The 14,297-nt window shown below is 41.2% G+C and overlaps 1 protein-coding gene across 2 annotated transcripts in view; it reads left to right on the top strand.

The window, feature by feature from the left end:
* Nucleotides 1-14,297, top strand: part of PRKDC (protein kinase, DNA-activated, catalytic subunit) — a 187,026-nt gene that overhangs the window by 110,052 nt on the left and 62,677 nt on the right. For both annotated transcript variants that reach the window (NM_001081640.2, NM_006904.7), the window contains exons 53-58: nucleotides 582-706; nucleotides 782-931; nucleotides 9,896-10,069; nucleotides 10,839-10,937; nucleotides 12,666-12,873; nucleotides 13,558-13,747. In NM_001081640.2, the coding sequence (NP_001075109.1) occupies nucleotides 582-706; nucleotides 782-931; nucleotides 9,896-10,069; nucleotides 10,839-10,937; nucleotides 12,666-12,873; nucleotides 13,558-13,747 (946 nt within the window). The remainder of the gene's footprint in view (nucleotides 1-581; nucleotides 707-781; nucleotides 932-9,895; nucleotides 10,070-10,838; nucleotides 10,938-12,665; nucleotides 12,874-13,557; nucleotides 13,748-14,297) is intronic.

Here is a 14,297-nt window from a genome sequence, read left to right as displayed (position 1 = left end):
TGCCCTTGGGGAGCTGGCATTTGGGGAGGGGAGACAGATGGTACACAGATGAATATATAACAGGTAGCAACACTTGGTGAAAAGAGGCAGGACATGAGCAGACAGTACAGTGATGGGGACTGCTGTGTGAATAGAATTGCTTGAAAATTCTAGTCCATGTGAATATTTTTTATCAGAAATCTGAACACCATAAAATATGTCTCAAACAATATTTAGCCATTTAGCTTAGCTTCTCAAAGGACTTACTGGTCCTACCAAGTGTTTTGGTGTCAGTAGGAAACACTGATCTTCATTGATCTGACATCTACACGAGCCAGACACCTGGGTGCTCAGCACAGAGCACAGTGATGTGGACTGGCTCACCGAGGTGTAGGAACTCAAGGATCCAGAGCCTAAGGGTGTGCGATGGTCAGTGTAGACCAGCAGACATCCCCAGCACCTACTGTCCCATCATCTACCTTGTAGGTGACAACATTGAGCACCTTTGTTGGGCTCACTTAAATACTCAAGATAAACTTTGCTTTCAATGCTTAACCTACATTTCCACTTTTGTGTATTTGAAAATAAACTTAATTTTTCAGATACTGGAGGAGTCTCTGTGTGAACTGGTTGCGAAACAATTGAAGCAACATCAGAATACTATGGAGGACAAGTTTATTGTGTGCTTGAACAAAGTGACCAAGAGCTTCCCTCCTCTTGCAGACAGGTATGGGCTGTCCAGGGATCCTTTCGGGGCAGGAGGGTCCTCGGCCCTCCTCTCACCAGTTCCCTTCCCCGCCAGGTTCATGAATGCTGTGTTCTTTCTGCTGCCAAAATTTCATGGAGTGTTGAAAACACTCTGTCTGGAGGTGGTACTTTGTCGTGTGGAGGGAATGACAGAGCTGTACTTCCAGTTAAAGAGCAAGGACTTCGTTCAAGTCATGAGACATAGGTGAGTGAACACTAGCCCTGCTCTTGGGTCCCACTGGCTCATAAAGCGTTAATTTATTAAGACGTCTCCAACTCAAGAAGAACCTGTGGGTTTCCATGATATACACATTTGTGAAGTTGGAATCTCTGAAGAAAAGGTGAAGGCACCATAAGAATAGGATATCTGCTGAGGTGGGCCTGCTCTCTGCTCCCTTGGCCTGGCATCTTGGGGAGCCACATCCCAGGGCGTGTTTTTCATCCATAAATGAAGGAGGTGGCCTATGGGGTTACCTTGGCTCTCTTCAGATTTAAAATGTATGCTTTTGAGTTCTGTACCTATTTTGCCAGGTGAGAGCTTCTGTTAATGTGTTTAAATTGTTCATTTATTTTCAAAATTGCAACATAACATAAAAGTATATGTTAAAAGAGAAAGCTGCTGATCACTTACATTATATTATTTCCCTGTCCCTGTACTCTTTTCCAGTCTTAGTCTATTAGTCCATATACCTTTTTTTTTTTTTTCATTTTTTTCAACTTTTATTTTTGAATAAGGAAGTACAAGTGCAGGTTTGTTACGAAGGTATATTGCGTAATGCTGAGGTTTGGTGTACAGATGAATCTGTCACTCAGGTAGTGACCATAGTACCTAGTAGTTAGTTTTTCAACTCTTGCCTCATATCCTCCCTTCCCCTTCTTCTGTTCCCCAGTGTCTGTTGTTCCTGACTTTATGTCTATGTGTACTCAGTGTTTAGCTCCCACATATGAGTAAGTACATGCAGTATTTGCTTTTCTGTTTCTGTACTAGTTCACTTAGGACAGTGGCCTCCAGCTGCATCCATGTTGCTGCAAAGGACATTTCATTCTTTTTTATGGCTGCCTAATATTCCATGGTATATATGTACCATTTTCTTTATCCAGTCCACCATTGATGGGCACCTGGGTTGATTCCATGTCTTAGCTGTTGTAAATGGTGCTGTAGTGAACATATGGGTGCATGTGTCTTTTTGGTAGAAAGATTTATTTTCCTTTGCGTATATACCCAGTAATGGGATTGCTGGATCAAATGATAGTTCAACTCTCACTTCCTTGAGAAGTCTCCAAACTGCTTTCCACAGTGGCTGAACTAATTTACATTCCCACCAACCATGTATAAGTGTTCCTTTTTCTCTGCAGCCTTGCCAATATCTGCCAGATTTTTAACTTTTTAAGAAAACCATTCTGACTGGTGTGAGATGGTATCTCATTTGCATTTCTCTGATGATTTGTGATGATGACTTTTATATATATATATATATATATATTTGTTGGCCGCTTTTATGTCTTTTGAGAAGTATCCATGTCTTTTGCTCATTTTTTAATGGGGTCACTTTTTACTTGTTGAATTAAGTTTTTTATGGATTCTGGATATTAGACCTTCGTTAGGTGCATAGTTTGTGACTATTTTGAATATTTTCTCCCATTCTATAGGTTGTCTGTTTACCCTCTTGATAGTATCTCTTGCTGCACAGAATCTCTTTAATTTAACTAGGTCCTGCTGGTCAATTTTTGTTTTTGTTGCAGTTTCTTTTTAGAACTTAGTCATAAATTCTTTGCTAAGGCTGATATTGAGAAGGGTATTTCCTAGATTTTCTTCTAGTATTTTTGTAATTTGAAGTCTTACATTGAAGTCTGTAATCCATCTTAATTTTTTTATGTGGTGATAGGCAGGGCTCTAGTTTCATTCTTTTGCATATGGTTAGCCAGTTAGCACCATTTATTGAATGAGGCATCTTTTCCCCACAGCTTATTTTTGTTGACTTTGTCAAAGATCAGATGGTTCGGCTTTATTTCTGGGTTCTCCATTCTGTTCTATTGGTCTGTGTGTCTGTGTTTTTTTGTATTTTGTTTTTTCCCCCGACCAGTACCATGCTGTTTTGATTATTGTATCCCTGTAGTATAGTGAAGTTGGGTAATACGATGTTCTGGCTTTGTTCTTTTTGCTTAGAATTGTTTTGGCTATTCGGGCTCTTTTTTGGTTTCATATGAATTTTAGAATAGTTTTTTCCAATTCTGTGAAAAGTGACATAGGTAGTTTGATAGGAATAGCATTGAATCTGTAGATTGCTTTGGGCAGAATGGCTATTCTAACAATATTGATTCTTCTAATCCGTTTTTTCATTTATTTGTATCATCTCTGATTTCTTTCAGCAGTGTTTTATAGTCCTCCTTGTAGAGATCTTTCACCTCCTTGGTTAGCTGTATTCTTAGGTGTTTTATTCTTTTCTTTGCTATTGTAAATAGGCTTACATTCTTGATTTGGATCTCAGCTGTAATGTTATTGGTGTATAGAAATGTTACTGATTTTTGTACATTGATTTTGTATCCTAGAACTTTACTCAAGTCATTTATCAGTTCTAGGAACGTTTTGTCAGAGTCTTTAGGGTTTTCTGGGTATAGAATCATACCATCAGAGAAGAGGAATAGTTTGATTTCTTCTTTTCCTATTTGAATATGTTTTATTTCTTTCTCTTGCTTGATTGTTCTGTGTAGGACTTTGAGTACTGTGTTGAATAGGAGTGATGAGAGTGGGCATCCTTGTCTTTTCCAGTTTTCAAGGGGAATGCTTCCAGTTTTTACCATCATTCAGTATCATGTAGGCTGTGGGTTTGTCATAGATGATTGTTATTATTTTGAGGAATATTCCTTTGATGCCTGGTTTGTTGAGGGTTTTTATCATGCAAGGATGTTGGATTTTTTTCTTTTTCTTTTTTTTTTTTTTTTGAGGCAGAGTCTCCCTCTGTTACCCAGGCTGGAGTGCAGTGGCGTGACCTCAGCTCACTGCAACCTCTGCCTCCCAGGTTTAAGCGATTCTCCTGCCTCAGCCTCCTGAGTAAGTGGGATTACAGGCACATGCCACCATGCCTGGCTAATTTTTGTATTTTTAGTAGAGACAGGGTTTTATCATGTTGACCAGGCTGGTCTCGAACTCCTGACCTCAAATGATCCATCCATCTCAGCTTCCCAAAGTGCTAGGATTATAGGCGTGAGCCACTGCACCTGGCCCAGAATGTTGGATTTTATTGAAAGCTTTTTCTCCATTTATTGAAATGATCATATGGCTTTTGTTTTTAATTCTGTTTATGTGGTGAATCACATTATTGATTTGTGTATGTTGAACCAACCTCGCATTCTAGGAATAAAGCACACTTGATTGTCACGCATTGACTTTTAGTTGTGTTGTTGGATTCAATTTGCTAGTATTTCGTTGAGGATTTTTTCATCTGTGTTCATCAGGGATTTGGCCTGACGTTTTCTTTTTTCATTGTGTCCTGCCAGATTTTGGTATCAGGATGATGCTGGCTTCAGAGAATGAGTCAGGGAGGAGTCCTTCCTCCTTGGTTTTGTGAAATAGTTTCAGTAGGATTCGTACCAATTCTTTGTATGTCTGGTAGAATTCAGCTGTGAATCCATCTGCCCTGGGTTTTTTGTTTTCTGCTTTTTTTTTTTTTGCTTGGTAAGTTTTTTTCATTATTGATTTAATTTAGGAGCTCCTGATTGGTCTGTTCAGGTTTTTGTTTGTTTGTTTGTTTGTTTGTTTTTAATTTCTGGTTCAATCTTGGGAGGTTGTATGTTTCCAGGAATGTATCTATTTCCTCTAGGTTTCCTAATTTGCTTACGTAGAGTGTTCACAATAGTCTCTGAGGATCTTTTGTATTGCTGTGGGATCAGGTATGATGTTATCTTTGTCATTTCTTATTGTGCTTATTTAGATCTTCTGTCTGTCTGTCTCTGTCTCCCTCTATTGATCTAGCTTGTGGTCTATCTCGTTTATTCTTTCAAATAATCAACTTTTGGTTTTGTTGAATCTTTGTGTAGATTTTTGGATCACAATTTCATTCAATTCCACTCTGGATTTTGGTTATTTCTTTTCTTCTGCTGTCTTTAGGGTTGGTTTGTTTTGTTTTGGTTGGTTTTAAGGTGGAGTCTCACCGTGTTGCCCAGGCTGGAGTGCAGTGGTAGCGATCTCGGCTCACTGCAACCTCCACCTCCCGGGTTCAAGCTATTCTTTTGCCTCAGCCTCTTTCCTGAGTAGCTGGGACTAGAGGTGCACACCACCACGCCTGGCTAATTTTTTTGTATTTTAAGTAGAGACAGGGTTTCACTATGTTGGTCAGGCTGGTCTCAAACTCCTGACCTCAAATGATCCTCCTGCCTCAACCTCCCAAAGTGGGTACAGGCATCAGCCTCTGCACCCGGACTTGGTTTGTTCTTATTTTTCTAGTTTATATGCGATGTTTGATTATTGATTTGAGGTCTTTCCAGCATTTTGATGTAGGCATTTAGTGTCCCTGTTTTCCTTAATTGAAAAAAATTTTTTGATTCTTGCCTTAATTTTGTTGTTTTCTCAATAGTCATTTAGGAGTAGGTTGTTTAATTTTTATGTAATTGTATGGTTTTGAGAGGTCTTGGTATTGATTTCTATTTTTATTGTACTGTGGTCTGAGTGTGTGCTTGGTATGATTTTGAATTTTTTTTTAATTTATTGAGGCTTGCTTTATGGCTGAGCATGTGGTTGATCTTAGAGTATGTTCCATGTGCAGATGAGAAGAATGTATATTCTGGTATATTAGGTGGAGTATGCTGTAGATGTATTGGGTCCGATTGTTCAAGTGTTGAGTTTAAGTCCAGAATTTGTTAGTTTTCTGCCTTCCTGATCTATCTAACACTGTCAGTAGAGTGTTAGTTTCCCACTATTATTGAGTGCCTGTGTAAGTCTCTTCATAGATCTAAAAGAACTTATTTTATGAATCTGGGTGCTCCAAAGTTAGGTACTTATATATGTAGTATAGTTAAGTCTTCTTATTGAATTGAACCCTTTGGCATTATGTAATGTCCTTTTTTGTCCTTTTTAACTATTGTTGGTTTAAAGTTATTTTATCTGATAAAAGAATAGTGACTGCTGCACTTTTTCATTTTCTGTTTTTGTGATAGATCTTTCTCCATCCTTTTACTTTGAGCCTGTGGGTGTTGTTACATGTGAGATGGGTCTCTTGAAGAGAGAAGATAGTTGAGTTTTATTTTTTTAAATCCAACTTGCCACTGCGTGGCTTTTAAGAGGGGCCTTTAGACCATTTACATTCAAGGTTTATATTGATATGTGAGGTTTTGATCCTGTTGTCGTGTTGTTACCTGGTTGTTTTGTAGACTTAACTGTGTAGTTGCTTTATAGTATCTGTGGGCTATGTACTTAAGTATGTTTTTGTGGTAGCAGGTATTGTTCTTCTGTTTCATGTTTAGCACTCCCTTAAGGACCTCTTACAAGACAGGTCTAATAGTAACAAATTCCCTTAATGTTTCCTTGTCTGAAAAGGACTTTATTTTTTCTTTCCTTATGAAACTTAGTTTGGCAGGATATTAAATTCTTGGTTGGAATTTGTTTTCTTCAAGGATGCTGAAAATAGGCCCCAGTCTCTTCTGGTTTTTAAGGTTTCTGCTGAGAGGCCCGCTGGTAGCCTGATGGGGTTCTCTCAGTATGTGAGCTGACCCTTATTTCTAGCTGCCTTTAAAATTTTTTCTTTCACATCGACCTTGGAAAATCTGATAACTATGTGTCTTGGGGATGGTCTTGTATAGTATGTCACAGGGGTTCTATGAATTTCTTGAATTTGCATGCCCACCTACCTCTAGTGAGATAGGGAACATTTTCATGGACTATATCCTCAAATATATTTTCCAAGTTGTCTCTTTCAGGAATTCCAATAAGTCATAGGTTTGGTTCTTTTTACATATAATGGATTTTTACATAATCCATTATTTTTTAGAGATTTTATTTAAAAATTCTTTTTTCTTTATTTTTTTCTGACTGGGTTGATTTGAAGGACTGGTCTTCAAGCTCTGAGATTCTTTCCTTAGCTTGGTCTATTCTTTTGTTAATGTTTCCAACTGTATTATGAAATTCCTGTAGTGAATCTTTCAAAACCGGAAGTTCAGTTTGGTTCCTTTTCTTTTCTTTTCCTTTGTTTTGTTTTCGACAGGGTCTTGCTGTGTAACCCAGGCCGAAGTGCAGTGGTTGTGGCCGTGACTTACTGCTGCAGCCTCGACCTCTCAAGCTCAGGTGATCCTCCCATCTCAGTCTCCTGAGGAGCTGGGACCACAGGCATGCACCACCATGCCCAGCTAATGATTTATATTTTTGCAGAGATGGGGTTTCATCATGTTGCCCAGGCTGGTCTCAAACTCCCCAACTGAAGCAATCTACCTGCCTCAGCTTCCCAAAGTGGTGGGGATTACAGGTGTGATCCACCACGCCTGGCTTGTTCATTCTTAAAATGGCTATGTTGCCTTTTGACTCTTGAATCATTTTACTGGATTTCTTGGATTGAATTTCAGCCTTCTCCTGGATCTTGAGCTTTCTCGCCATCCGGATTCTGAATTCTATTTCTGTCATTTCAGCCATTTCAATCTGTCTGCAAACCATTGCTGAGAGGTTAGGACAGTTGTTTGGAGGTGAGAAGATACTTTGAATTGCCAGAGTGTTTGCACAAATTCTTTCTCATCTGAGAGGGCTGGTGTTCCTTTATCTTTTTGGAGTTGCTTCTGCTTGGATGGGACCTTTTGTTTTCTTATTCATCATTTTCCTTGAGGGTTTGACTGTGGTGTATGCTGAGTATAGTCAACTGGCTCCCTTTCTGGGTGTTCTCAGCTGGCTGAGGCTCTGTATAGGCTCTCCTGAGGCTCTGTATAGGATCTCTCCTGTATAGGATCTCTCTAGGTTCCTGCATTGGGTTTCACAGGTGATGGATACTAGAAGAATTTTTTTTAGTGATATAATTCAGACTATGATCCAGTATATGGTGCTTAAGGATAAGGGCTAGCAGATAGACTCTTAGATTACAGTGCGTTCAGCACAGTGCTCTGTGCTGGGGGTAGGGGAAGGGAGATGACCCCCTCACCAAGTTCATTCCCAGGCCTTAGAGGAGCCCCTTCCAATCACTGGCACCATACCCACATTTCCTGAACCCCAAGGGGGGCCCTGGTGGGCTGCACTCCCCATCCCTTAGCAGTAGCCTGAGCTGAAGGTTAGGTCACCAGGAGACCTGCAGCATTCCAGAGGCCCACTGGTCCTCTGTGCTTGGCAAAGTCAGAGAGGGTTGTGGGGTATGTCTCTGGGTGGTCTGTTGGTATAGTAGGTCAAGGGTGGGGGATCTCAGGGCAGGGTGATGTTGTCGTGGTTGTGCAGCTGGTGAGGTGCCCACAGCCTGGGGTTTTTTGCCCAGCACACAGTTGTGGGGACTGCCCAGTTCACGTTCCCTTGACCAAGTCTGCTGGTGTCTGCCCTTGTAGCTAGCCTGACCAGCCAGTTTTATGCCATGCTTTCTGCGCCCAGATCACTGGGCTGTTAGGTGTTTCAGGCCACAGGGTCCCTCAGGCAGATGCAAAGCTGGCAAACAGGCCTCACCCTTCCCAGACCAGCCTTGTGGAAGGGGACTTACCCAGCACTCATGCTGGAACACAAACCCACGTCTCACTCTACTCAGTGTTCTAAGCAGAGCTTAAGTTCTGGCCACAGATCTCAGCTCTGTATTCCTGAACGATGTGCTTAGACCCTGGGGGGCTGAGACCAGGCCCACAGCTTTGTCCTCTGTCCCCTTGGAATCAAGCACTGTGCTGGGGTTGCCGAAGTGCTCCAAGGCCACTGGCAAAGCACTCAGGCTGGGTAATGGAGGCTATGCTGTGTGTATGCTCTTGTGGGAGCAGCTGGGGTTGGGAGTGCCTGGGAAGTTGACAGATAGGCGTGTAGATCAGCCTCTCCCCAGACCCACAGGAAGGACAGCCCTGCTCTTTCCCAGCCCAGCATTCAGCAGGGGATAGAGTGACTCAGAGCAAGGTGAGAACCTGGGGGCATGGGTGCCTGGGGTTGCATTTGCTGGAGCTGCTCCACACTGAGTGAGACCTGCTGGGCTCCACATAGGCTGGTGCTCTGCCTGTGCCTTCTCTCTGACAGTTCCCTACCAATTCAAATGTCTTTGGGGTTGTGGGATCTCTTGTGGCTAGTATCCCAGAGCTCCACGGCGAGCGTGGATTGCCCCATATAGTCACTCCACTCACCCCTTCCTTAGGACCTGATTAGGGCCAGGTCCTGGCACCCGGAGACTGTGCAGGCTTCCCAGCTTCCTCCCTCTTCAGCCTCAGTGTCTGTGTTGCCTCTCTATTGATGCTCAGTGCTTTCTTTCCAAAGATGTCTTCGAAGCATGTTGGTTTACTCATTTTGCTCTGTTTTGGTGGGAGAGGCCCTCCTGGCTATGTCTATTCAGCCATCTTGTCCCCCTCCTATGTAAATATTTTTACACAGCAATAAACATGCATTGTGTCAGTAACAAAAAATGTATGTCACTGTCCTAATATCCTTACATTCACTGAGTATCTACTGTATGAAGCATTCAGCTGGGTGCTATAAGGAGTCAAAATAAGGAAATAGATATTTGCCTCATTTAGAGCTCAGATTGTACTTCACTATACACCATGCCAGGTAGCTCTTGAAGTCCTTTTAAAAAATACTTTGCCATTATTAGGTTTTTCTAAAAATAAACTTTTTATATTGAAGTAATTTTGCATTTACAGAAAAGTTGAAAGATAGTACACATAATTTCCATATACACCCTTTACCCAACTTTCCCCCTTACATAATCTTGGTACATTTGTCAAAAGTAAGAAATTAACATTAGAACATTACTATTTACCAAACTAGACTTTACTTCCATTTCACCAATTTCCTTCTAATATCCTTTTTCTATTTCAGGATCCAGTGTAGGGTAGCACATGAAGTAATTTGTCTTATATTTGATAATCTAGTCCATGATCATTTTAAGAATATAAGTTTTATATAAGTGTAGCGTTATCTATTATAACTAATTTTGAAACAAAGAAGAAAAAGTTGCCTGTCATACTTTGAAAGTGCAATAATAAAAATAGCTAAATTTGTGTGTTTTTAAAATCTCTCCCATAGAGATGATGAAAGACAAAAAGTATGTTTGGACATAATTTATAAGATGATGCCAAAGTTAAAACCAGTAGAACTCCGAGAACTTCTGAACCCCGTTGTGGAATTCGTTTCCCATCCTTCTACAACATGTAGGGAACAAATGTATAATATTCTCATGTGGATTCATGATAATTACAGGTAAGCTATACATTGACTATTTTATTTTGTTACTTTTTTGAGATAAGGTCTTGCTCTGTCGACGAGGCTGGAGTACAGGGGCACAAACACAGGTCACTGCAGTCTCAACCTCCTCCTGGGCTCAGTTGATCCTTCCATCTCAGCCTTTTGCGTAGCTGGGTCTATGGGTGTGCACCACCATACCTGGCTAATTTTGTTTATTTTTTGTGGAGACGGGGTTTCACCTTGTTGCCTGGGCAACATTAACATTTTAGGGATCATTTGGGTCCCCTTAGCAATCTGGAACATAATAACACATTTTTTTTTACCATATGATTAATAATTAAAACATGTATTTTGGTATATCTAATTGTATCCTTTTAAAAACTCATTTCACATATGTGTGTGAAAAAATCAGAGTGAAAAAGTGTGGTGTTGTGCTTATAAAACCTATTTTCATAGTTGTCCTTTTAAGATCTTGCAAAGACTAAGGAGATGAACTCTGCCAGGACCACCGGGCACTACCACACCACCACAGCTGAGCGTCACAGGACCGCTGGGCCTCCTGTGGGCCCATCCTCCTGTTCCACTCAGCTCCTGCTGGGAGCAAGGATGGGTTCTCAAGGCTTGTGCACACACCCATGAGTGGGGCAAGCTGTGATTTGGAGATCTAAAGTCTAATGGGAAAACAAGCCTTTTAAAATTGAATTCTAGATGGTGTTACTGTAGTTGAACAAAAGGGCCAGAAGAGAGCATTAATGTTGTGACATTTTGCTGTTTTCTCAAGCAGAGATCCAGAAAGTGAGACAGATAATGACTCCCAGGAAATATTTAAGTTGGCAAAAGATGTGCTGATTCAAGGATTGATCGATGAGAACCCTGGACTTCAGTACGTGAATAACTGGGCTGGGACAATTAAATGTTAAGGGTATTGCTTTCAAAGGTAGCATAGAGTATTTTTCAGGAGTTTTAGAAATGTATTTGCAGTATTAGCATTTTCTCTGCTTTCTGCATTTCACAATATTTAGTAAAAGAGTATTTTAAAGCACATTATGAAGAGTAAGGCTTTACAATCCTGACAACTTAAAAATAACACTCTTGAAAAAGTCATATGGACCAAATGCTGTATGGTAGGGCAGTGAGTTAAAGTGTTTCAAAATGAAAAGAAAGTCTGTAATGACAATTCTTCTGTTTCCCATTTAACACACATAGTTGAGATCATGCTGTAAGTATTAATGTTGAAAATAAAGTGTTTGAAACTTTAGAAATGAGAGGAAACTGTAATATTAGTTATATATGAAAGTGTGAATGATGATTGTTACCCTCTAAAATGCCTGTCCTGAGTAAGTCAGTTATATGTGTTTCTTACCAAATACTGATTATATAAGAAGAGGGGTAAACTTTTTATTATTATTATGTTTTTTAGAGATGAGGTCTTGCTCTGGCACCCAGGCTGGAGTGCAGTAGTGTAACTGTAGCTCACTGTAGCCTCTGACTCCTGGGTTCGTATGATCCTCCTCCCTCAGCCTCCTGAGTAGCTGGGACTACAGGCATAACGCCAACAGGCTTGGCTGATTTTTTATTTTTTGTAAAGATAGGGTCTTGCTATGTTACCCAAGTTAGGCTTCAATGCCTGGCCTCAATCCTCCTGACTTGGTTTGCCAAAGTGCCGGGATTTTAAGTGTGAGCACTGCACCCAGCCTCAATATAAGAAGCCATATACTTTTTATATGTTTCTGTATATTACTTATTTTTCCATTCTGCTATAATTTTAAATTCATTGAGCTTCTTAAAATTGTATTTGGATTTCATATGCATTCATAAATTATAAGACCTAATTTGGTATGTATGTATGTATGTGCACCAACTACATACATACATTTATTTTATTTTATTTTTTTGAGATGGAGTCTCACTCTGTCACCCAGGCTGGAGTGCAGTAGCATGATTTCAGCTCATTGCAACCTCCGCCTCCTAGGTTCAAGCGATTCTCCTGCCTCAGCCTCCCGAGTAGCTGGGACTACAGGTGGGTGCCACCATGCCCAGCTAATTTTTGTATTTTTAGTAGAGACGGGGTTTCACCATGTTGGTCAGGCTGGTCTTGAACTCCTGAAGTCAGGTGATCCACCCACCTCAGCCTCCCAAAGTGCTGGGATTACACGCCTGAGCCACTGCACCTGACCCCTAATTTGGTATTTAATTAATATATGTTTTGAGTATTTTATGGCAGTAATTTTTATAATGGATTGTTTTGGCAAGGCAGTGAAGGATTTTGTGTAATTTCTTAAATTTTTTTTTTTTGTTTCAAATAGTTAATATTATGTACTCATCGTTGAAAACTTCCCAGAGAATAGAGATAAGAGAATAAAATCACCCAGTTTCTCCCCTCCCCTCTGTGGCATAAAAAATATGCTACATTTTTTGTAATATTCTCTTCCTTCAGTGGATATGTTTCATAACTCAGACTATATTTTTGATATAGTTGAAGGTGGTTTCCCTCTCTGTTAAGCTTCATGTGGGTGAAGAGCTGTGCCTTCTCCACAGGACACCCTGTACAGCACATTCTTTCCCATTTGCCATTGTCTAAGCAATATACTTTTTTCTCTTTGCTTTTCAGATTAATTATTCGAAATTTCTGGAGCCATGAAACTAGGTTACCTTCAAATACCTTGGACCGGTTGCTGGCACTAAATTCCTTATATTCTCCTAAGATAGAAGTGCACTTTTTAAGTTTAGCAACAAATTTTCTGCTCGAAATGACCAGCATGAGCCCAGATTATCCAAACCCCATGTTCGAGCATCCTCTGTCAGAATGCGAATTTCAGGTAATGTGGTCTTCTCTCTCATAGTAGTGAATATTATAGGCTTTTCCTGTTCATGAACATTTTTAATAGCTTTGACTGGCTCTTTGCCTTCTCAGAATACACATTCCTTTCTGAAAAGGAAAGGGAAGGCTCGTGCCTCTGCTTCAGCCACCTGGAGGTCCACTGGCCTCACCCTCTTGGCCTCCACTAGATTTCCCTTGTCAGGATCGCCATTGCTTTCCCTCCCCTCATTCCTCCCAATCCACAGTGGATGCTGAGCTTGTCCTGTCTCGCAGCAGCCTAAACAGTGGGATGATGGGCAGGTTGCAGGGAGCTCCTGGGGTAGGGCCCCTCCTGTCCCACTCACAAGCTCAGGATCTGTCCCAGTGGCACGTGTGTATGTGGACAAGCTGGGTCGCTTGACTCATTGCATTTGGGTTGTGGTGCTGAGCATGATATCAAACCTTTTTATGCAAACATTAAGAAAGCTGGGTTTTCTCACTCGATAGTTAACTAGTTTTTCTAGTTGGCAAATCAGTTAAAACTTTTAAATTAGAGAAGGTTCTTCTTCAGCTGCATATGAAGTTATGGTACAAATATGCTGATGGTACCATTAGATTTTAAATAGAAATATATCAGTGTTCCTAAAAAAGGAGCATTATTTCATTTGAAACTTTATTTCATTTGAAACTTTCTTATGTACAGGAATATACCATTGATTCTGATTGGCGTTTCCGAAGTACTGTTCTCACTCCGATGTTTGTGGAGACCCAGGCCTCCCAGGGCACTCTCCAGACCCGTACCCAGGAAGGGTCCCTCTCAGCTCGCTGGCCAGTGGCAGGGCAGATAAGGGCCACCCAGCAGCAGCATGACTTCACACTGACACAGACTGCAGGTAACAGTGACCCTGCCCGCTGGCCATGTATACAGCACCCTGACCTCTGTGGGCAGCTTCTGTCACAACAGTGTTGGGCTTTTGTGAGAGAAGTAAGGGATAATAGCAAAAAGCGTTAAGAACCCAAGGAAGATGTCATTCAAAAGAGGGGGTTCCTATAACAGTCAAACTCATGGAAACAGAAAGTAGAGTGCCAGGTGCCAGGGTCTGGGGAGGAGGAATGGGGATTTATAGTTTAATGGGTACAGAATTTCAGTTTTGCAAGAGGAAAAGTGCTGTGGAGGCAGGGTGCAGTGACTCATTCCTGTTATTCCAGCTGGGGCAGGAGGATCAGTTGAGCCCAGGAGTTCCGCACCAGCCTGGGCAACATGGAAAGACTCCATCTCTACAAAACAATTTTACAAATTAGCTGGGCATGGTGGCGCACGCCTGTAGTTAGTCCCAGCTACGGGGGAAGCTGAGGCGGGGAATGGCTCGAGCCCAGAAGTTCAAGGCTGCAGTGATCTGTGATCACGCCACTGCACCCTGCCTTGGGCAAAAGAGCAAGGCC

This window comes from Homo sapiens, chromosome 8 (assembly GCF_000001405.40).
Source record: "Homo sapiens chromosome 8, GRCh38.p14 Primary Assembly".
In the NCBI taxonomy this organism is placed as follows: domain Eukaryota; kingdom Metazoa; phylum Chordata; class Mammalia; order Primates; family Hominidae; genus Homo; species Homo sapiens.
The sequence above is the reverse complement of the archived record's forward strand: the minus strand, read 5'-3'. Positions and strand labels throughout refer to the sequence as shown.